This window comes from Homo sapiens, chromosome 21 (assembly GCF_000001405.40).
Source record: "Homo sapiens chromosome 21, GRCh38.p14 Primary Assembly".
NCBI lineage: Eukaryota > Metazoa > Chordata > Mammalia > Primates > Hominidae > Homo > Homo sapiens.
Window position 1 is genome coordinate 13025665 of NC_000021.9, and position 22533 is coordinate 13048197.

Sequence of the window (22533 nt, forward strand, 5' to 3'; positions counted from 1 at the left end):
TGGAAAAGTGAATTGATAATATGCCATTGTCAATAAGTGAAGATGGTATCAGTGTTCTCTAGATGTTTAAATGTCTAGATGCAAATGTCAACATATAATGCTTACAAGGACATAACTGGGTGTTTCACACTATTATTTTAGTTTTAACCCACTTGATCCATCAAGTTATCTGTCATAGAGCAAATGAAAGGCCCCTTTAGAGAAGTCTCAGAATAAAAAATAGGCCTAGTTATGTTCGTTGGGAGAGAAGTAATTAAAGCATGGGTTTACATTTTCTGTCTATAAGAAATTGTCATTGTAGCTGTTGTTTGTTTCAAAATCTATGTACAGTTCTGACCCACCAACTGACAATGGCTGCCTGACTCTAACACTCTGGTGTGTTATTGTAAATTCCCTGAGTCTTCTTTATAGCAAGAGAAAAAATCAGGACATTCTGAAAGTAATACACTGTGGATATTTACATGGCCAGAGTATAATTTTCTCTGCTTAATAATAAAACTTAATAATGAGCTTAATAATAAAACTCACATACAAATACAAAATAAACCTGTGTCAAAATTTATTTCACTTATTCCTGAGGAAATCAGTAGGTGGGAAAGCTGGTTCCAGAACAAGTAAAAAAAAAAAATTACAGATTTTCTTTCCCCAAAAACAAGAAATGTTAGAATAAGACAACTATGTTAGAAGCAAAACTGGGCTGGGAGCGCTGGCTCACACCTGTAATCCCAGCACTTTGGGAGGCCAAGGCGGGCGGATCAGGAGGTCAGAAAATTGAGACCATCCTGACTAACATGGTGAAATCCGGTCTCTACTATAAATACAAAACCAAAATTAGCCGGCCATGGTGGCCTGTAGTCCCAGCTACTCAGGTTGCTGAGGTAGGAGAATGGCGTGAACCCAGGAGGTGGAGCTTGCAGTGATCCCAGATTGTGCCACTGCACTCCAGCCTGGGCGACAGAGGGAAACTCCGCCCTGAAAAAAAAAAAAAGAAGCAAAATTGATTAATAACAACAAATAGTACTGGGTAAACTGGATATCCACAGGCAAAATATAAAGTTTGGGCCCTTAACTTACATAATGTACAAAAATAAGCTAAAATAGATCAAAGACTTAAAAGTAACAACTACAACCCTTAAACTCTTAGAAAAAAAAACATAGGAGAAAATATTCTTTATGTTAGATTTAACAATGATTTCTTAGATATGATATCAAAGGTACAGGGAATAAAAAAATAACAAAAAAATTAGTTTCATCAAAAGTAAAAGTTCTGTGCATTAAAAGTCACCATTGACCAGGTGTGGTGGGTCATGCCTGTAATCCCAGCACTGAGGCAGGTGGATCACAAGGTCAGGAATTTGAGACCAGCCTGGCCAATATGGTGAATCCCCATTTCCACTAAAAATACAAAAATTAGCTGGGCATGGTGGTGTGCACCTGTAATCTCAGCTACTTGGGTGGCTGAGGCAAAAGAATCACTTGAACCTGGGAGGCGGAGGTTGCAGTGAGCTGAGATTGTGCCACTGCACTCCAGCCTGGGCGACAGAGGGAGGCTCCATCTCAAAAAAAAAAAGTCACCCTCAAGACAGTGGAACAACAACTCAAAGAATGGGAGAAGATGTCTGCAAATCACATATGTGATATGACATCAGTATATGTGGATATAATATGTATAATAGAATAAAGAACTCCAGCAACTCAACAATAATAAATGGTTCAATTTGTTAAATAGGCAAAGGACTTGAATAGATAATTATCTAAAGAAGATATACGAATGGCCAACAAGCACATGAAAAGAGGCTCAATATCACTAGCATTAGAAAAACACAAATGAAAGTAATGATGAGATATCATTTCACACCCATTAGGATGATTACAAAACAGAAACTCCAGAAAATAACAAGGGTTAGTGAGGATTCAGAGTCAATGGGAACCCTTGTGCATTCCTGGTGGGAATGTAAAATGGTGTAGCTTCTGTGGACAACAGTTAGGTGGCTCCTCAAAGGTTAAACATAGAACTACTATGTGATCCAGCAATTCTATGCCTATATACATGCCCAAAGTAATTGCAAATAGAGACTCCAACAGATATTAACCACCAATGTTCACAGTACCATGATTTACAGTAACAAAAAGCAGGAAGCAACTCAAAGGTTCATCAATAAATGAATGAATAAACAAAATACACCATATTCACATAATGGAAACTTATTCAGCCTTATTAAGGAATGAAATTCTAATATACACTACAGAACTTCAATGACTACAACCTACGTAAACTTTGAAAACATTATGCTTAGTGAAATAAGCCAGATGCAAAAGGATAAATATTGCTTGAAGTACTTAGAATAAGCAAATTACAGAGACAGAATAATCATTACCAGGGACTAGTGTGGGTGAGAAGTTATTGTTTAATGGGTACAGAGCTTCTATATGGGATGATTAAAGAGTTCTGGAAATGGACGGTGGTAAAGGTTGTGCAATTTGGTGAATGTAATGTCCTCTGAACTGTTCATTTAAAATTCATTAAAGTGATAAATTTTACAGTATGTGTATTTTACCACAAGTTAAAGAAGAAAATTAAAAGACAAAAATATGTATTCCCAATTGCACTGTATTTTTTGTTATTAAGCATAAAATTTAAACTTTATTAAACTTATTAGAAAAAGGGAATTGGAAATGTGATATAATGAAGTAATTCACAAAAATGTGTACAGTAAATGCACTCAAGAGCAGTTTTTCTGACGTTTGATGAACTCCTATCAGTTGTGAATTAAAACTGATTAATATCCTTCATGGAAACAGATCCATAAGGTCTGGCATTGTCTTTTTCTACTAGAGAGAAACCTAGAAATTATCACATAATCGCATAGCATCTAGGATCAAATCAACTAATACATGGCCAAGTCAAAAGAAAATGAAGTAATCTTTGGGTTAACCTTTTAGAGGATAGCTTTTAATAATGTAATATTACACTAAAAATACATGTTTTATGTCAGAGTTTTAGATACTTTTCCTTAGCAGTCCGCTATCACAAATATGTCCTCTGTTAGTGCTAATCCATAACTAACTCAGTTCCTTATTTTCATGTCAATAATCTCCAAGTGTTATTCTTTTTTTTTTTTTTTTTTTTTGAGACAGAGTCTGGCTCTGTCTCCCAGGCTGGAGTACAGTGGTATGATCTCGGCTCACTGCAGGCTCTGCCTCCGGGTTCATGCCATTCTCCTGCCTCAGCCTCCCGAGTAGCTGGGACTACAGGCGCCCGCCACCACGCCCAGCTAATTTTTTGTACTTTTAGTAGAGACGGGGTTTCACCGTGTTAGCCAGGATGGTCTCGATCTCCTCACCACGTGATCCGCCCGCCTCAGCCTCCCAAAGTGCTGGGATTACAGGCGTGAGCCACTGGCTCGGCCTCCAAGTGTTATTCTTAATCAAAAAAAGAAAAAGTTTATCTGACTATATTCGACCCTGATTATTTATGTAGCTTCAGAAAGAGGAGTTAAACACATAGGTGAAGTCTTCCCTCCACCAGGTTCTAAAATGTAAGATTCATGGCCTTCTGAAAACACTCCCTTACCAATGTGAGGCTGGAACCATAGAACAGGTGGAGGACTTAGTAGGTATTGGCTCAACATTTAAAGTACAATCTTTTTCCTTAATAGGTATTTTCATACCTTATAAACACATGTATGACCTTGGATGTCCAATTAAATCCCAGGAAAAAAGGACAGATTCTTGATGAAACTAGGCAAATAATGAGACAGCAAGTAAAAAGGGCTCCCCAGCAGAACCTCCGACCAGCTTGCACACTGACAGGAGTGCACACTGAGGTGGAGCCTCAGGAAGTTTGCAGCGGGGAGGAGCCTGGCCTCTTCTGTTCCAGGACGGAGGCTGGGATTCAATCTATGAGGCAGGAAGCTGGGTAGCAGGAGTCTCTGTTTCTCCTTTTTTCCCTTTTGCCCAATAAATTCCATTTTTCTTACCCTTCAAAGCGTCGGTGAGCCTAATATATCATGGCTGTGTGACAAGAACGCAGCTTTTAGCTGAACTAAGGAGAAAGTCTTACAATAATAATATGTTGTCTTACAAGCATGGAGAGTCAGTACAAATATATTTTTCTGAATTCTCAGAGAAAAATAGAAATTAGACAGCGTTTGAAGGATGTATTTCACTTACAAGCTGTAGTATATAAAATTGAGGATCAGAGCTAGAAAAAGAAACTGTGTAATTATACTCCTTCTACTGGATGTTGAGTCAGTTTTTTGCTTTGATAAAATTATCTACCAATGAGGCAAAAAATAAATCCTTAAAACAATGAGATTTAAAAGTAAGTTGTTATGCTCAGTACTTTATAGGAGAACATTCAAGTAAGTGTCAGAGGAAAACAAAAACCACCTAGAGAAGCAACTAAATGGCTGTTTAATTTATATAGTAAACAATAATATAAAAATGGAGAAGAATAAAATTCTGCATTAGGTTCAATACTATCTCATAAAGACTTGACCAATGTTTCACCTGGGGGCATATACCTCTCCAATTTCCTATTACAGTCTCTAATCTGTGAGTTAAATGTCTACAGTTCCTAAACAATTCACCTGTTTTTTTTTTTTTTTTTTTTTTTTTTTTTTTTTTTTTGGACAGAGTATCCCTGTGTCACCAGGCTGGAGTGCAGTGGTGCGATCTTGGCTCACTGAAACCTCTGCCTCCTGGGTTCAAGTGATTCTCCTGCCTCAGCCTCCCGAATAGAGGAGACTACAGGCATGCACCACAACGCCCAGCTAGTTTTTGTATTTTTAGTAGAGATGGGGTTTCACCATGGTGGCCACGATGGTCTCAATCTCTTGACCTCCTGATGTGCCCACCTCAGCCTCCCAAAGTGCTGGGATTACAGGCGTGGGCCACCGCACCCCACCACCATTCATCTTAATATGTAAGATTATGTAAAATGAACTGAGAAGGCTGAGTCTTTTAGAATTGACCTCATGCAACTCACACAGATGTGTGGAACTAATGAAGAAATATGGGGCATACCAAAGAAGCCCAATTTATTTTAGCCTCATCCATTTTATAAGGCAAAAATTGTCACAGTTTTTCTAGAGGTCACCTAGGAAATCTAAAAAATTCTTATTTTTCCCTAAAAATCAGAAAATATTTACTTTTTGGAATTTAAGATATAATTTCAGATGGGCAAAAATTAAGTGTTATCAGAGGAGATTTGGTCACTGTGATAAAGATAGGAATACAGGTACAGAGAAGAAAATGGTGGCAATAATCCCAATGACAATACAATATTCTAAAATAAGCATAGAAAAATATATCATAATTGTTAGAAAATGTATCCGTTTCATAATTAATTATGCTGTACAAATGTTTTTTTCTTATTTTTCTTTCTAGCTTCATTGAAGTATGATTGATAAATAAAAATTGTACATATTTAAGTTATATAATATGATGTGATGTATGTATACATTGTGAAGTAATAGCCGCAGTCAATTAACATTTTCATCAACTTACAAAGTTACACTTTCTCTGTGTGTGTCTATGTGTGCTTGTATGGAAATACATAAGACCTACCCTGTTAGCAAAATTCAAGTATACAATACATTCTTATCAGCTGTAGCTACTATGCTATATATGTTAGGTATCCAGAATTTATTCATCTTTTAACTAAAAGCATCTCCCCATTTTTCCTACCTTCTAATCCCTAGCATCTAATGAGTTTAAATTTTTTAGATTTCACAGATAAATGAGATTATGCAGTATATTTGTCTTTCTGTGTCTGGCTTATTTTACTTAGCATTTTGTTCTCTCAGTCCATCAATGCTATCACAAATTTTAGGATTTCTTTCTTTTGTAAGGATGAATAATATTCCATTGTATGTATATGCCACATTTTCTTTATCCACTAATCTGTAATAAAGGCTATTATTCAAAATACACAAGAAACCCTTCAAATTTCACAAGAAAGCAAACAATTCAGTTAAAAATGGGGAAACAGTATAAATGGATAAGTCACCAAAGGAAATATAAAAATGGCAAGTAAGTATTTGAAAATATATTCAACAACATATGACTTTAGGGGGATAAAGCAATTCTATATATTGAAATTTCCTTTAACAAAGAAAGCAAATAGAAAACTTTCTCAGAAAAACAAAACTTTAGTGATACATCATCAGCTGACCTGTCTTGCAAGAAATACTAAAGGAAGTTCTTCAAGTGGAGAGAAAATGATGCAAGTGAGAAATTCAGATACACAATAAAGAAGTAATAAATGAAAAAGAATAAATTAAAGTTAAAAACTTTTTTTATTCTTAGTGATCCATAAGATAACTGTTTAGTCACAAGAAATGGGTAATTATAGAATGTGGACAGATGAAATTAACAATAGCAATGTCATAAGGTACAGGAGGTACAATCTGGTAGTATTTTTATGGGATACCTACACTACGTGTGAAGTAACAATTTTATTTGAAGATAGACATAAAATGTATATAATCAATTCTAATTAATTTAAAGATAGACTTAAAATGCATATAATCAATCCTAAGAAAACCACCGCAAATTTTTAAAAGAAGTGATGAGATCACATCTCATGAGGTGATGAGATACACCAAGAGCTGAGACAAAAATGCAATCATAGAAGATGCTCAATTAAAATAAGAGAAGGCAGGCCAGGCACAGTGGCTCCTGCCAGTAATTCCAGCACTTTGGGATGCCAAGGTGGTTGGACCACCTGAGGCTAGCCCGACCAACATGATGAAACACCGTCTCTATTAAAAATACAAAAGTTAGCCTGGTGTTTTGGCACACATCTGTAATCCCAGCTACTCTGGGCTGAGGTGGGAGGATCACTTTAACCTGAGATGTGGAGGTTGCAGTGTGCCAAGACTACCACTGCACTCCAGCCTGGGTGACAGAGTGAGGCTCTATCTCAAAATAAAATAAAATAAAATAAAATTAAAATAAAATAAAATAAAATAAAATAAAAATAAATGAATATAATTAATGATTATATTCTACTTCAACAAAAGTAGAATACACATTCTTCTCTAGTTTGTACAAGACACACTGCATTATGGGCCATAAATGTCTTAAAATTTTTCAAAGAATAAAGTTCATACAAAGTACACACTCAGACCACAATAAAAATTAAAGTAGAAATAAATAGCAGGAAGAATTGAAAAATTTTTCAAATATTTGAAGACTTAACAAAACATCTAAATGCATCCCAAAAGAAGACTAAACAGTAATTAAAATATTTGGAATTAAATGAAAATGAAATCACAACTTATTAAAATATATGAGATACAGTAGAACTAGTACCTAAATTTATAGCATTAAATGCGTATTATTATGAAAAAAGAGATAAAATCAATAACCTAAGCTTCTGCCTTAAGAAACTAGAAAAAGAAAATCCAAAGTAAATAACAAGGGAAAAAATATATAAAGTTTAGCAGATATCAGTAAAATATAAAACAGGAAAACAATAGAGAAAATCAATGAAACAGAAAGCTGTTTCTTTGAAACGATCTATAAGCTTGCTAACATTTAGACAAACTAATAAAGAAAAAAAGAGAGAATGCACAACTAACAAATATTGGAAGTGAAACAGGGGTATGGGTTATGACTACTGATTTTGTGGACATTAAAAGGATGATATATTTACTATATTAAAAACTCTATACTCACAAGTTCAATAACCTATATAAAATGGACAAATACCTTGAAAGACACAATATGCCAATACTCACAAAAGAAAAAATAGATAACATGAGTACTCTTATATCTATAAAAGGAATTGAATAAATAGTTAATAACCCACCCACCCCTCCAATGGTTCCAGGCCCAAATGGCTTTAGTGGTGAATTCTATCAAGCATTTAATGGCAAAATTATACCAATTTTCCACAGACTTTTCAAGAAAATGGAATTAGAGAGAACACTTCCTAATTCATTCTATGAGGTAAATATTACCCTCTTACCAAATCCAATAGACATAAAATTAAATAAAATCAATATATCAATATCTCTCATGAAAAAAGATTCAATAATCCTTCACAAAATACTAGACAATTGAATCTAACTATGTATTTATTTTAGGTAAGACAGTATGCAAGACTGATTCAATATTAGAAAATTATCTGCAGAATTTCCTAAATCAACAGGTTAAGGAAGAAAAATCATGTGACTGTATCAATTGATGTAGAAAAAGCTTATGGCAAAATCTATCACCCATCTATAATTTGAGAAACTCTCAGAAAACTAGGAATTGAGGTGAATTTTCATAACTTGACAAAGAACATCTACAAAACCCCTAAAACTATCATACTTAATGATGAGAATTGGGATACTTTTTCCCAAAAACCAGGAGCAAGAAGAATTTTGTTTTTTGTTTTTTTTCTTTCACCACTTGCAAAATGAAACCACCACTTTGGAAGACAGATGGGCAATTTCTTAGGCCCATAGTTGCTATACTATATGTAAAAAAAAAAAAAAAGTCTTACATATAATATAGCAATTGTGTTTTTTTTTGTTTGTTTTGAGATAGAGTCTTGCTCTGTCAGCCAGGCTGGAGTGCAGTGGTGCAATAGAAGGATACTGCAACTTCCACCTCCTGGGTTCAAACAATTCTCCTGCCTCGCCTCCAGAGTAGCTGGGACTACAGGCACCTACCACCATGCCCGGCTAATTTTTTTTTTTTTTTTTTTTTTTTTTTTTTGTATTTTACTAGAGACAGTATAACCTTTTGATTTGGGAAATTTTACCATGTGGCCCAGGCTGTTGTCCAACTCCTGAGCTCAGGCAATGCGACCGCCTCGGCCTCCCAAAGTGCTAGGATTACAGGTGTGAGCCACCGTGCCTGGCTGCAAATGTGTTTTTAGGTGTTTATCCACCTTATTTGAAAACCATGTCCACACCAAAACTGACGCATGAATATATATATAGCAGCTTTGTTTATAATTCCCGAAACTGGAAGAAACCTCGAGGTCTCATAATTGATGAATGGAAAAAAAAAAAACTGTGATACGTCATATAAGGGAATATTACTTCCTAAAAAAGTAAATGATCTGGCAAAAGATTCAGTGAGGAGGTTTAATAGGTGAAGCACGTGGGCATTATTTGGACCAGTCAAAGTATTCTGCATGTTACCACAACTGTGGAATCACGATAGTATGCGTTTGCGTTTTTTTTTTTTTTTTTTTTTTGAGATGGAGTCTGCTCTGTCGGCCAGGCTGGAGTGCAGTGGCACGATCTCGGCTCACTGCAAGCTCTGCAACCCGGATTCACGACATTCTCACGCCTCAGCCTCCCGAGTAGCTGGGACTACAGGTGCCTGCCACCACGACAGGCTACTTTTGTTTTTGTATTTTTAGTAGAGACGGGGTTTCACCGTGTAGCCAGGATGGTCTCCATCTCCTGACCTTGTGACCTGCCCACCTCGGCCTCCCAAAGTGCTGGGATTACAGGCGTGAGCCACTGCACCCGGCCTGCGTTTGTTAAAAAACAAAGAATCTCACAGCACAAAGAGTGTCACTTAATATATGCAAATTTTAAAACAACAACAACAACAAAGTAGGTGTTCTGGGGATCCTGGGATGGAATGCAGAATGTGATAGAAAATCTAAAGTACTACAAATGTATAAAGCCACTTCACTCTAGGGAGTGGGAAAAACGTGCTGACATAAGCATCTTAGAAAATGGATGGGCCTTCTGTGGTGGCTCACACCTGTAATCCCAGCACTTTGGGAGGCCAAGGTGGGCGGATCACCTGAGGCTGGGAGTTTGAGACCAGCCTGGCCAAAATGGTGAAACCCCATCTCTACTAAAAAGACAAAAATTAGCTGGGCATGATGGCGGGTGCCTGTAATCCCAGCTACTCAGGAGGCTGAGGCAGGAAAATCGCTTGAACCTGGGAAGTAGAGGTTGCAGTGAGCCGAGATCAAGCCACTGCACTCCAGCCTCAGCCTGGGCAAGAAGAGCAAAACTCCATCTTAAAAAAGAAAAAGAAAAAGAAAAAGAAACAAAGAAAATGCATGAAGACTGAAAGGAAGAGAAACTGCAAACAACTCATGTGATCTGGGTGGTGTAGCTGTTTCCTACAGGAAATGGGATAGCGATTCTGATATTGATAGAGAATAAATGTATATTGGAACTAGACAGTTAAGCAAATGGATGACAAATGACAGGAGCCTGGTTTCTCACTATTAAAGTGGGAGGTTACATGTAAGCAAGGGGAGAAGGCCAGAATGATCATGTGATAAAAGAATTGAGTCGTAGACATCAGTATGAACTAACACTTATACACATTACATTTAGAAATATTTATAGTTATGTGTATACACAGCTTTGTATACACACATTTATTTCTTTGCTCTGTAAACTAAGACGGTCTCTAGAACCAATGATATCACAGCAGAAATGAGCATATCTAACACTCAAGTCTTCAATTCGTGGGTTTTTGTTCATGATCCGGGATCCAGGAGTTGGGCCCTGGGGCTGGGCATTGTGTAGCCTCCGGGATGGTGCTGAGCATCCATTCCCACCCTCCTGCAGCTGGGGACCCATCCCTTGACTTGGGACCCCTGGAGGCAAGAACATGGTCACCCACTTTAATCACATGGTCCCTATCACATAATCAGAGGGCGCTGTGGGTTTTAACTCTTCAAGCTAGATGTGTAAACAATTCGACATAGATAAGATATAGTGACTAGAAGTCTTTTATTTATTTTGAGAGAGAGTCTCTGTTGCCCAGGCTTGGAGTGCAGTGGCACAAACAATCAAACAATAACCAAAATCCAGAAGAATGAAAAGGTCAAATGCTGTCAAGGATGGGGAGCAACAGGACCTCTCATTCCTTGTTTGTGGCACAATCAGTTTACTGTACCCACGAACTCCCAGGCCCAAGTGATCATGCCACAATCAATCTCCCAAGTAGCTGGGGCCACAGGCATGCACCACCATGCCTGGCTGATTGGTTTTATTTTTATAGAGATAAAGTTTCCCTGTGTTGTCTAAGCTGGTCTCAAACTCCTGGGATCAAGTGATCCTCCTATCTCGGTCTCCCAAAGTGCTGTAAGTACAGGCATGAGGTCCTGCACCCAGCCTGGAAGTCTTTATAGATAAGTTCAATTTAACTGTTTCTCCATCTGATCCACTCAGCCGAGTTTCCCTCTCAGTCCAAGGGTGAGAACTGCAGCTCAGCCCCATCCAGGATGGCTGCAGATGACCCAGCGCCACTGCCATACTCCAGATGCTGGTCAACGAGGAAGGGATCCTGAGGCCTGGCAGCGGGCGCTCTCAGGAACCTTGAAGCCCTCTAAACGGGACCCGCCATCCGTGCCTGTCAGAACTGGTGCCGCTACCTGCACTTGGCACACAGGCAAATATGGCCAAGCAACCCCAAACTCCCCTCTTCCCCTCTGGGCCCAGGCGGCGCTGAACCTGCTGCTCAGCCGCATCCTGGCGACTGCACAGTGCCCAGAGCCTGCAAACCAGCGCTCAGGGCGCGAGCCAAGGAAGAGCAGGGCCTAGAGTGGGAGGGCGTGTGCCACACGGCTACCCTAAGGCCGTCGGGCCCAGCCCTGCAGCCTCTACCGTGGGCTCAGCTGCAGCTGGCATTTGAAGGTGGCAGCAGCGGTGGCAACCCCAGAACCTGTCCGCGCCACCAGCAGGCGAACCCCAGGGTCGGACACCGCCACTGCGCCTAAGTCAGGCAGTGGGACCTCAGTTGCAGGATCGTGGGAACCTGCTGCAAAGCCTCGTCGCCGCAGCTGTACAGGGCCCAGTGGTCGCAAGCCTGCGCTGCCAGCGCGAGCCGAGGAAGAGCAGAGCCCCGGGTGGAAGGGCGATGTACTCGGCGATGCTCAGCGGTCTGGGCCCAGCCCTGTAGCCTCTACCATGGGCTCAGCTGCAGCTGCCACCTGAACATGGCACGTGGCAGAAGAGGCTGCAACCCTGACCCTGCCAGCGCCACCAGCCGCGCGGATACTTGGGCCAGAAGCCTCCAGGGAGCCTAAGTCAGGGGTTGGGTCCCTGGCTGCAGGAGGCCGGGAACCGACGCTCAGCGCCACCCTGGAGGCTGCACGATGCCCAGCGCCAGGGCCCAGCTCCTGGATCTCAGGTTGAGGAGGGGCCAGGAGCGGCTCTGTCAAGCAGGCCATGTGGCAGGGAGCCCCCCACGTTCCGCTGTAAGGAGCCCTGCCAGCCCGATAGCGCCTCAGTAGCAGGTGCCACCTGCACGCCGTGCTGGGCGAAGCGCAGCCAGGGCGGTTTCCTGCCTCGCGTGCCTCCCAGGTCTGCTGAGTTGCGCATGCGCTGTTGCCTAACGGTTCTGCTCAGCTGCCTAACGGTTCTGCTCAGCTGCCTAACGGTTTTGCGCAGCCATTTTCTCCCTGGAGAGGCTGGAGTGTCCAAAAGCTTGGCCGACTGAGATTGCTAGTCGTGTCAGGGCGGGTGCGGGACTGAAGAAGGGCGAGGGCGAGCGGCGGGGACTGGGGAAGGGCGAGCAGCGGGAGGCACGGGCTCTCTCTAGCAGGTGGCTGCAGCCATGGAGAGGCTCTGTGCCGCCGCTGTCAAGGGCCAGACGGGCCCAGAGCGCCCAAGCCCCTTCAGTCAGCTGGTCTACACCAACAACGACTCTTACGTGATTCACCATGGGGATCTCAGGAAGATCCACAAAGCTGCCTCCCGGGCCAAGCCTGGAAGCTGGAGAGGATGATGAAGAAGACGACAATGGACCTGAACATAAGAGATGCGAAGAAGAGGTACCAGGCCCTGCCTGAGCCGGGGCTGCAGGAGGAGGAGGAGGCTGTGGGAGGATCGCCCCTTCAGAGTGGGGGCTGGGGGTCCTGGGGACGAGGGGAGCAGGTGGAGGAGTGGTGGGCAGCGGGGCGGCCGTCCTGGCCCCGAGGTCTTGATTTTCTTCCCGGGAAGGCCCCCCAGGCCTTGGATGGGGGAGCCCTGCAGGGCAGAGGGCCCAGGCCACCTTAAAATCAACCCCAAACTTTAGTTAGCTGCTTTCTCCTTCACTCCCACTTCCTCTCACAGAGCACTGTGTAGAGAATTTTAAAGTGATTTAACTTACAAAATTAAGTACATACAGGGTTTTACTTTTAATGTACAGGTTTTAAAAGATAATGTTAGATACATTATGAAATGGTGCATAATGAAATAATTCCCATAATATATTAACTTCTTGGCTAAAAATTTTTTGGATAAAGTCCAGTAACCATTTCAATATCAATGAATGTCTATGTAAATATATTCTTTGCTGAGGGACCTTAGAAGGTAACTTTGAGGTGGGAAGATGGTTTATGTTTTCGAATTTAAGAAGACTCATTTTTCTGAAGATGCAAGTTCTTTATCAGTTTTACATAAACCAAATAAAGTTATCAACGTTTTAACATTTTTAAAATTACACACGCTGTCTTTTACTATTGTGATGACATTTAACAAATTTTGTAACGGAGTAGAAAAGTCTTGCCCTTCTAGATTTCAAAATGTGCTATTAATTTGCACAAAATGGGCCATGGCCAGGCGCGGTGGATCATGCCTGTAATCCCAGCACTTTGGGAGGCCGAGGTGGGTGGATCACGAGGTCAGGAGATTGAGACCATCCTGGCTAACACGGTCTCTACTAAAAATACAAAAAATTAGCCGGGTGTGGTGGTGGGCGCCTGTAGTCCCCAGCTAATTGGGAGGCTGAGTCAGGAGAAATGGTGTGAACCTGGAAGGCAGAGCTTGGAGTGAGCCGAGATCGCACCACTGCACTCCAGCCTGGGTGACAGAGCGAGACTCCGTCTCAAAATAATAATAAATAAATAAATAAATAAATAAATAAAATTTGAAAAAGAAAAAAAAAAAAAGGGCCAGACGTGTTGGCTCATGCCTGTAGTCCCAGCACTTCAGGTGGCCGAGGTGGGTGGATCACCTGAGGTCAGGAGTTCAAGACTAGCCTGGCCAATATAGTGAAACCCCAACTCTACAAAAATACAAAAATTAGCCAGGCACGATGTCGGGAGCCTGTAAGCCCATCTACTCGGGAGGCTGAGGAGGGAGAATCGCTTGAAACTGGGAGGCGGAGGTTGCAGTGAGCTGAGATTCCATCACTGCACTCCAGCCTGGGCGACAGTGAGACTCTGTCTCAAAAATAAATAAATAAATCACAAATTATTTGATAACAGCTGAAAAGACAGGTAAATGAATACAACACAGTAGAAAACCAGAAACACCCAAATATCTAAGAATTCAGAATTTGATAATGCTCACACTTTATACTAGTAGGGAAAGAATTAGTTTCATAAGTGAAATGCCTGCTTTTTGGAGAAAACTAGATTTTTATGCCACAAAGTAAATTTCTGATGGAATATAGATTAAATTTTTTTAATATACAAAATGATAAAAGCACCAGAAGAAAACATAAATGCCTATTTACACAGGTACATTTTTATGTTGACAACACCTTTCTAAGAAGCTCAGAAGCAAGCAGTCTGAAGGATAATTAAGCAAAACAAAATTAAATTAAACTGTAAGGAGAAAAAATAAAAGGCAGCATACTTGTAAAATATTTACTACACATGTATGTGCGTGTGTGTATACATATTAGATTTTTAAATCATCATTTTATAGATAATTCACTTAAATCAACAAAAAAACCCTCTAATTTAAAATTGAGCAATTTAAATTAGAGATCTAAATTGCAGATCTAAAAATAGTACTTTGCTTCTAATTTAAAATTTGGAAAATATTTTCTTAAGATCTGTAAGTGACCTATGCACACAGAAAACAATATTTAGTGTTCCTGGTTACAGAAGGCATTTAAGTTAAAAGAGGAATCAAATACTGCTTTCTACCTACAAAGTTTGTGAGGATAAAGAGCAGTGATATTTATACTACTGTTTAAAGTTTAAGTTGCAGATAACTTTTCAAATAGACAATTTGGTGGTAAGTACCATATTATTAAGAAGAATCCATATAATGACTTTTATAAATACATTTCAGTGAATTTACAGCATGGGATAATATGTGACCACTGAAGGTAGAAATATGTAGAGAAGTAGGTGACATTTGAAAATGTATTTTGGTGTATCAAGTGAGGGTAAAGTTCAGTTTCATTATACATACACACAGACTTGCGTTATCTGAAGTTGTGTATGAAATATGATAAAATTTGTTATTTGAGGGCATTTGTTTTAATATAAAATGTTTTTCCTTTTTTTTATCTTTGATTTCCACATTGAGCATGTACAATGCTGTTAGAAAAAGTTTATTATTAATGAAATAATTTTTGGGAAGAGCAGGAATATAATTTTGCACCAATAAAAATAATTTCTCACTTTCCATATTTTAATTATTATTTTTTGTGGATTAGTATATTCTGTGAACTTTTAGCATCTTCAAAAGACAATCTTTTTACCTGTGCTTGTTGATTTACATATACATCTTATTAGGCACATATTTTTATTGTATATAGATTTCTTACACATATGTCAATAATTATAGATTAGTGTAGTTTTATTATTAAGAAAATAAAATAGAAAATATAAGTGCTTTATTTATAGCAGTTTTTTTAAGGTATTGAACTTCTCAACTGTATTTATCCTTTTAATCAATTTATCACATGTAAGCTGAATGCCTATTATGTAGAAGATACATTAACTCTCAAGATCCTTTCATCCTTAAAAATTTCACATTTACCTGCTCAGCCTTAGCAAAGTGAGAGATTTAAAGTTGGAGTACTAGGAATGAATCTCAATTGAAGCTTTTCCTCTCATCTTTAAAACAAAAACACTTCTGAAGTAAGAAACTAGTAAAAGATAACTACCAACCACGATTTTGGAAATTTATAACAGCTTTAAATAGTAATATTAATCATTGGAAATACCTAATTTACATGCATTCTATAAATTTAAATATGAATTTATATACATTCTGTAAATCTAAACATGGAATAAAATGAGCCATACCTACTTGAATCCCAAGTTTTCTTTGGCTTGAAGTTTTAAAAATATTAAAGAAGTACTTTGTTTTAACAGTTTGTTTTTATTTCAACTCTCCTTTTGTATAGCACTCTTAAAAGCTAAAATTTCTTTAAGTGTTAATCCTATGACTAGGACTGCCATCGTCCTGTTGTATATACCATATTCCACTTCGTGGAAGGCACGGTGAATGGTGTGATGCCTCCTTATTTATGTACCAATAAAAGATCGTTTAAATTTCTGCAAAATATACTTGTAACAAATAATGACTTATAAGTGGCATTTCAATGTCAGAGATGTTAAAATATGAGAAATAGAGTATCTTAGAATTATTAAAATAGTTTTATCTCTAACCTTTAAAACATACCACAAAGTAGGCATAATTTTACCATTTTACTTAAAATGTTTTCTTTGTTAAGTAGTAGAAATAATTACAATATCTATCAATCACTGAGCTGTTACATGTGCTAGGAATTCTTCGAAATACATTGCACAGATTCTCATGAGGCATCACAGTGATGTCCTGTGAGATAACTGCTGTATTCATCTTCACTTTATTGATGAGAAAATTGAGGCACAGAAAGGTTAAGTGATAGCTAGAAGGTGAAAGACTTTAAAGTAATATTCAAGCCCAAGTTGAACTGAATCCAAAGGCCAAGCTCTTTCTATTCAAATAGGCCACTCTTTCATTAATATAGTGAGTAATAACAGTGAATGAATGTTGTAGTTTCTTCAGGAGAATATTAAATATTTGTTTTGAAGGCAGAGAAAGAGCATGGTATTTAATGTTGACAATTACATAAATCATTCTATGTTTTGAGACAGTGGACTAAACTTTCCTTAAAAGGCCTCTCACTCTCGTAGGACTGCTCTACACTGGGCCTGTGCCAATGGCCATGCAGAAGTAGTAACACTTCTGGTAGATAGAAAGTGCCAGCTTGACGTCCTTGATGGCGAAAACAGGACAACTCTGATGAAGGTAAATGGTAGCCAGTTCTTTCAGCAGGAGATGGATTTGGTTTAAATACATAGAATAAAAATGAATTTATCTCATTGAAATATAACTAGTTTGTGAAACCTGTGGAATATTTATTTATATTTCCTATAATTTATAATTTACTTCTTGCTTTAATACTGACAGGCTCTGCAATGCCAGAGGGAGGCTTGTGCAAATATTCTCATAGATTCTGGTGCTGATCCAAATATTGTAGATGTGTATGGCAACACAGCTGTCCATTATGCTGTTAACAGTGAGAATTTGTCAGTGGTGGCAAAATTGCTGTCCTGTGGTACAGACATTAAAGTGAAGAACAAGGTAGACATTAACCAATGTTATTTTCAAAATATTTGAAATCCATTTGTTTTAACATTAACATATGTAAATTGTTTTATATTTGGAAGCTCAAACATTCCTATTTTTCTATGAAAATAGTTTGACAAAACTTAATTGTCTAGGATTTTGCTTTAAATATTAATATTTTTACAAGAACTATTAGTATGGCTTTTCTGTGCATTATGATAAATATTTAAATTTGTTAAAGGTAAAACATTTTCAAATATTCTTTCCCACCCAAGTTTTTTTTTTTCTTTCCAGTTAGTGTAAAACTACAAGAAAGTAAAATTTGCCTGCATAAATTGAGTCAACATGTAAAATTTAGGAGACATGCAGAAATCTGGATTTCCTCTTAAAGGATTGAATCTTGTGTCTCTTGAGCCCGTATGACTGTTTGGTATGCTATGAAGACATTCTAGTTTTACATAAAGCATATGTTTCCAGTTTGCTACTGTGCCCACCTAGTTACATCACTTATTCAACTTACCTATTTTGCCTCTGTAAATATTTCAGTTATCAATTCCTCTCTCATAGTACATTTTGGTAAAGATTTCAAGTTATTGAAGGCAGTTTATAGGTGTTTATAATATATAGTTTATATTTTACATTAATTCATTAATAATGGGGTTGTCTTCTAGAATTTAGAATATTTTATAAATGATGATTTTTCTCATATAAACCATAAATAATCATCTTCTATTAGAAGGCCTTTAAGCCTTTTTAGATTAATCATGGTTATATTTGAATAGGTTATGCATATTGCAGAAAAAATATTATATCTTTCTCCACAGAATTGTCCCTTAAAATTCAAGTGATTTAGTGGCTTCTATTTTGCTAAGCCACATACATGAGTTAGAACTTTCATTAATAAGCCATTTTATTCATACTTCTGATATTTTGCCAAAAAATAGTATCAATTACAATAGAAACCAGAATAAAAATGGATTATTGCATTTTAAGAAGTAGATATGCATTAGGATCCTAGGAGTATCATTCTAATAGAGAATAAACTTTTATACTGAATTTCTTTTCTTTTTTTCTTTCTCTTTTTTTTTTTTTTTTTGAGACAGAGCCTTGCTCTGTCACCAGGCTGGAGTGCAGTGGTGTGATCTCGGCTCACTGCAATCTTTACCTCCCTGGTTCAAGCAATTCTCCTGCCTCAGCCTCCTGAGCAGCTGGGACGCAGGCATGTGCCACCACGCCTAGCTAAATTTTTTGTATTTTTAGCAGAGATGGGGTTTCACCATGTTGACCACGATGGTCTCAATCTCCTGACCTTGTGATCTGCCCGCCTTGGCCTCTCAAAGTGCTGGGATTACAGGCATGAACCACTTTGCCTGGCCTTTTATACTGAATTTCTAATAGCTGAGATAAAATCCTATTGTCTGGTAATAGGATAAACCCCATGGACCATTTAAGAATATGCAATCAAAGTTTATTTGAAGCCAATCTCTTTTAATTTACAGCCACTTCCTTAGTGACCCATTTAGAGCAGGAGTGCCTGACATTGGCATTTGGAATCTTGGGATCATTGATAGAAGAGAATCAAGTGAGTTTGTATCACCCAGAGGAAACCTCCATTTTTGGGGGGAAGCTTTCAAAACTGCATCCCTGAAATTCTAATTTGTCAAATGTTAATGTTTGCCACAAAAATATACTGTCAAATAAGGATTAGGTAAAGTTCAATTCATTTCTTGAATAATGAACATTTAATTCACAGTTTTATAACATTTCTTGAACATAGATAATGGTGGAATCTGTTGGGGTACAGTGCTTCTGGTAAGGTAATTATTCTTTGGAATAAAGTTGAAGAAACACTGTTCTAGAAGTAATAATTTAGATTACTAATTTAGTAAAAAATAAAGTATTTACTACTATGTCTTAGGGTTTAAGGATATAGAGGTAAAAGATACAGCCCCTGCCCTCAAGAAGCTCTTGGTTTACATGGGAAACAATAAAATCATTACAATGTAATGATTTTTGGAGATAACCAGAGTTAATGTGGTGATGCAGAGGCTGAATGTTTACAAGAGAAGGTGCAGTGCATGGGAAAGCACAGAAAAGTGAGAAAGAAGGGATTGCTATTGATTTACTTTCCATTGTTTAAGTTCATAGGATATTATATAAGGTATTCAATTCAGCTGAGAAATATGTAATTTCATGAATTATAAATTGTTTTTGCTGTTTTACAGGCTGGCCACACACCACTTTTATTGGCCATAAGGAAAAGAAGTGAGCAAATTGTGGAATTTTTACTGACAAAAAAATGCAAATGCAAATGGAGTTGATAAGTTTAAATGGTATAGTAGTTTTTTTATTAAAAAACACTTGAGTAGTGTGCTAGAGTAATAACACTCAAGTCAGAAATATTAAATTAATAACATTTACTTAAAATTATTAGATTATACAGAAAAATATCAAGACAAATTATCAGTTAGGAAGAAAAGCAATTATTTGGACTGGTCAACACAAAGAACAGTATACAGTAGGATTTTCTTCTTTTATTATACTGACTGATTCTTATTTGTAATCTGATGTTTTTGGTTGCATTATCTTCTATTAGCTAAAGTGGTTCTGTATTAGTTTTAAGAAGTATGAATTTTTAGTTTACTTTATAATTCAATATTGAATGATTAACACCTTTATAGTATTTTTCTAACTTCTGTTTTTCATACACTTTTAAAAAATGCAATATTTGCTGGGCATGGTAGCTGTTGTCTGTTATCCCAGCAACTTTGGGAGGCCAAGTGGGTAGATCACCTGAGGCCAGGAGTTTGAGACCAGCCTAGCCAACATGGTAAAACCTCATCTCAATGAAAAATATAAAAATTAGCCAACCATGGTGGCACAAGCCTGTAGTCCCAGGTACTCAGGACAATATTATTCCTAATATTGTTTTAAGTCTTCAGATTGCTCTCACTTGTCCGACTTCTAGCTAATTTTGAAGTACAAAATATTATATCAGACTAAGGAGGAAATAGATAATTCTTCACTTAAAACTTTGCCTCTTTTAGATTAGTGAACAGAACATATTTTCTTGCCCCTCAGTGGACTTTATGTTAGCCAATTCTACTATGCCATATCCCAGTGAGACATGAGTCTTTTCACCCCTTCCTTTTAGCCTTGGTCGTGATTTACAAGGATAAACACTTGAGCACTCAAGATACTTAACATTTGTTAATACATGTAAATGGTTAATTCTATACTGACAGGCACATATTAAATTGGTTCATTCCTAATAATGAAGTTATGTCTGTTATTTTAGCACAGCCCTCATGCTTGCCATATGTCATGGATCATCAGAGATAGTTGGCACGGTTCTTCAGCAAAATGTTGACATCTGTGCTGAAGCTACATGTGGAATGATTGCAGAACGTTATGCTGTTGCTTGTGGATTTAATCTCTAAGTGTTTACATTTAAAGGCTAGGTGAGATTTTATAGTTTGTTTCAGGTAGTTTTTGAATGACAGTGAGTTAGTTCACTTCATCAGCCAGAAACTAGGCAAAAAGCTAGACTAGTTAGAAAGATTAATGGCTCCAGGATTCTTTATTTTAGGGCTTTAGGGACGCTAATGTTGTCTACTTGATTTGAAGTATAACCCCTATGCATGGGATAAATATAATGTCACAATTTTGGTTTTTCTAATTAGTTATTTGGGTCTCAAAATGTCCACTTTAAGCAGAAAACCTGATAGTGTCCCCAGGGGGCTGTCTTCCATACCTTCATTCTTGAATTTTTTAAAAGAATCTGAACCTAAGTCCAAGGAAGACATTCCTTTTGTACAAGTCAGAAGGATTGGGGGGTGGGAAATGGCCATTCTCTTCATTTTGCTGTTTCCATTGATTCTGTTGCTGCATCGTTGCCATTGAAACTGCTCCTGCAGTCTGGTAATGATTGACCTTTGTGACCAGGATGCCCTTACTAACACAGATTCCTCAGTCTTCATGGTATAGACTTCCAAGTTATGACATGTTTTTAAAGTTCACGTACATATTCTCAGCCATTGTTTCCAAAGTACCAGCACCCCACTCTGGCAGCTAGAACTTTTAGCTTTAGCCACACACATAGTGAGCAAATTGACCCTTCTCCTCACACTCAAAACCTGATGTGAAACCCACATCTTAGCCTGGACATGGCCTAGACCTTCATGGTAAATTATCCTTTGAGTGGCTTTTTTCTATTTTCTCTAGCCAATATTAGTTGTGGTAGTTTGAAACTGTAAGTCAGGTTGAAATAATGTTACAGGAAGAAATTAGAGATCCATTTTGTCTTTGTTACCAGATCTATATCCCTGGCCCTTTATATCCTGTGTAGCACCATTTTGTAGGTAGTGGAAGGTCTCATCTTATTCTATAAAATCCCATGTCATCTTTCCCAAGTTGTAGTGGGTTCCAACTTGTGGTTGTCCCCTCAAGTGATTCTTTTTTCCTAAAAGTAAAAATCTCCCATGCTACTTACATCTCCACCTCGAGTTTCTAAAATATTTTCAAATGCTGCATCACCATGAAGCCATTCAATAGACTTCACTAAATCTCAAGTAAGTTGGTTAGATTTAACAGAGCTAAGCCTCATCCATCCCTCATCAGTCTTCACGTATAAAAGTAAGGATTTGTGCTGGCTTCAGTGGTACATATAGTAAAATTAAGACAACGTTGAGAAGATCAGCATGGTCCCCGCACAAGGATGACATAGAAATCTGTAAGGTGTTGCATATTTCTTGCAGTCCCCAAAAGGACATTTTACTACTTTCTAACTAGCTCCAAGGAAATGGTGTGAGTCAAAGCAAAATGGGTGACACCCAGTATTGCAATTGTGATTTTCATACAAAAAATTATTTACATAAGGTGATCTATGAAATGAGATGTGGTAACACATAGGATCTTGTGTGCAATATTTTGTTAGTAGGGATCTCAGAAATGAGAAAATACCAACTTGCATCTTCTTTGTGGAACTTACAAAAAATAAAGGTAGGGTTTTGTCTTCCACAGCAGCTGGAAATGAACATAGTGACTAAGCATCATTCTAACAAAGATTTGTTGGTTCAGAGTTTAAGGAGGTAGATAAAGAGTAGTAGTAGTCCAAGCCAGATGCTGACATCTATTAGTTTTCTGCCCTTGGTGTGACTGATGAGCTCAGTAATAGAGTATAATTAGGTTATCTGATTTAATGATTTAATATATTTATAAATAAATTTCATTACAAAATATAAAATAGCTTAGATGCTCT

General features: G+C 38.0%; 2 pseudogenes across 1 annotated transcript in view; both read left to right on the forward strand.

The window, feature by feature from the left end:
- Positions 1-12501: 12501 nt before the first annotated feature.
- ANKRD30BP2 (ankyrin repeat domain 30B pseudogene 2) overlaps positions 12502-22533 on the forward strand; it is an 80086-nt pseudogene continuing 70054 nt past the window's right edge. Inside the window, exons 1-4 of the transcript NR_026916.1 lie at positions 12502-12760; positions 16838-16952; positions 17115-17288; positions 19499-19606. The product of NR_026916.1 is annotated as an ankyrin repeat domain 30B pseudogene 2 (transcript). The remainder of the gene's footprint in view (positions 12761-16837; positions 16953-17114; positions 17289-19498; positions 19607-22533) is intronic.
- On the forward strand, positions 21919-22025 carry RNU6-614P (RNA, U6 small nuclear 614, pseudogene; annotated as a pseudogene).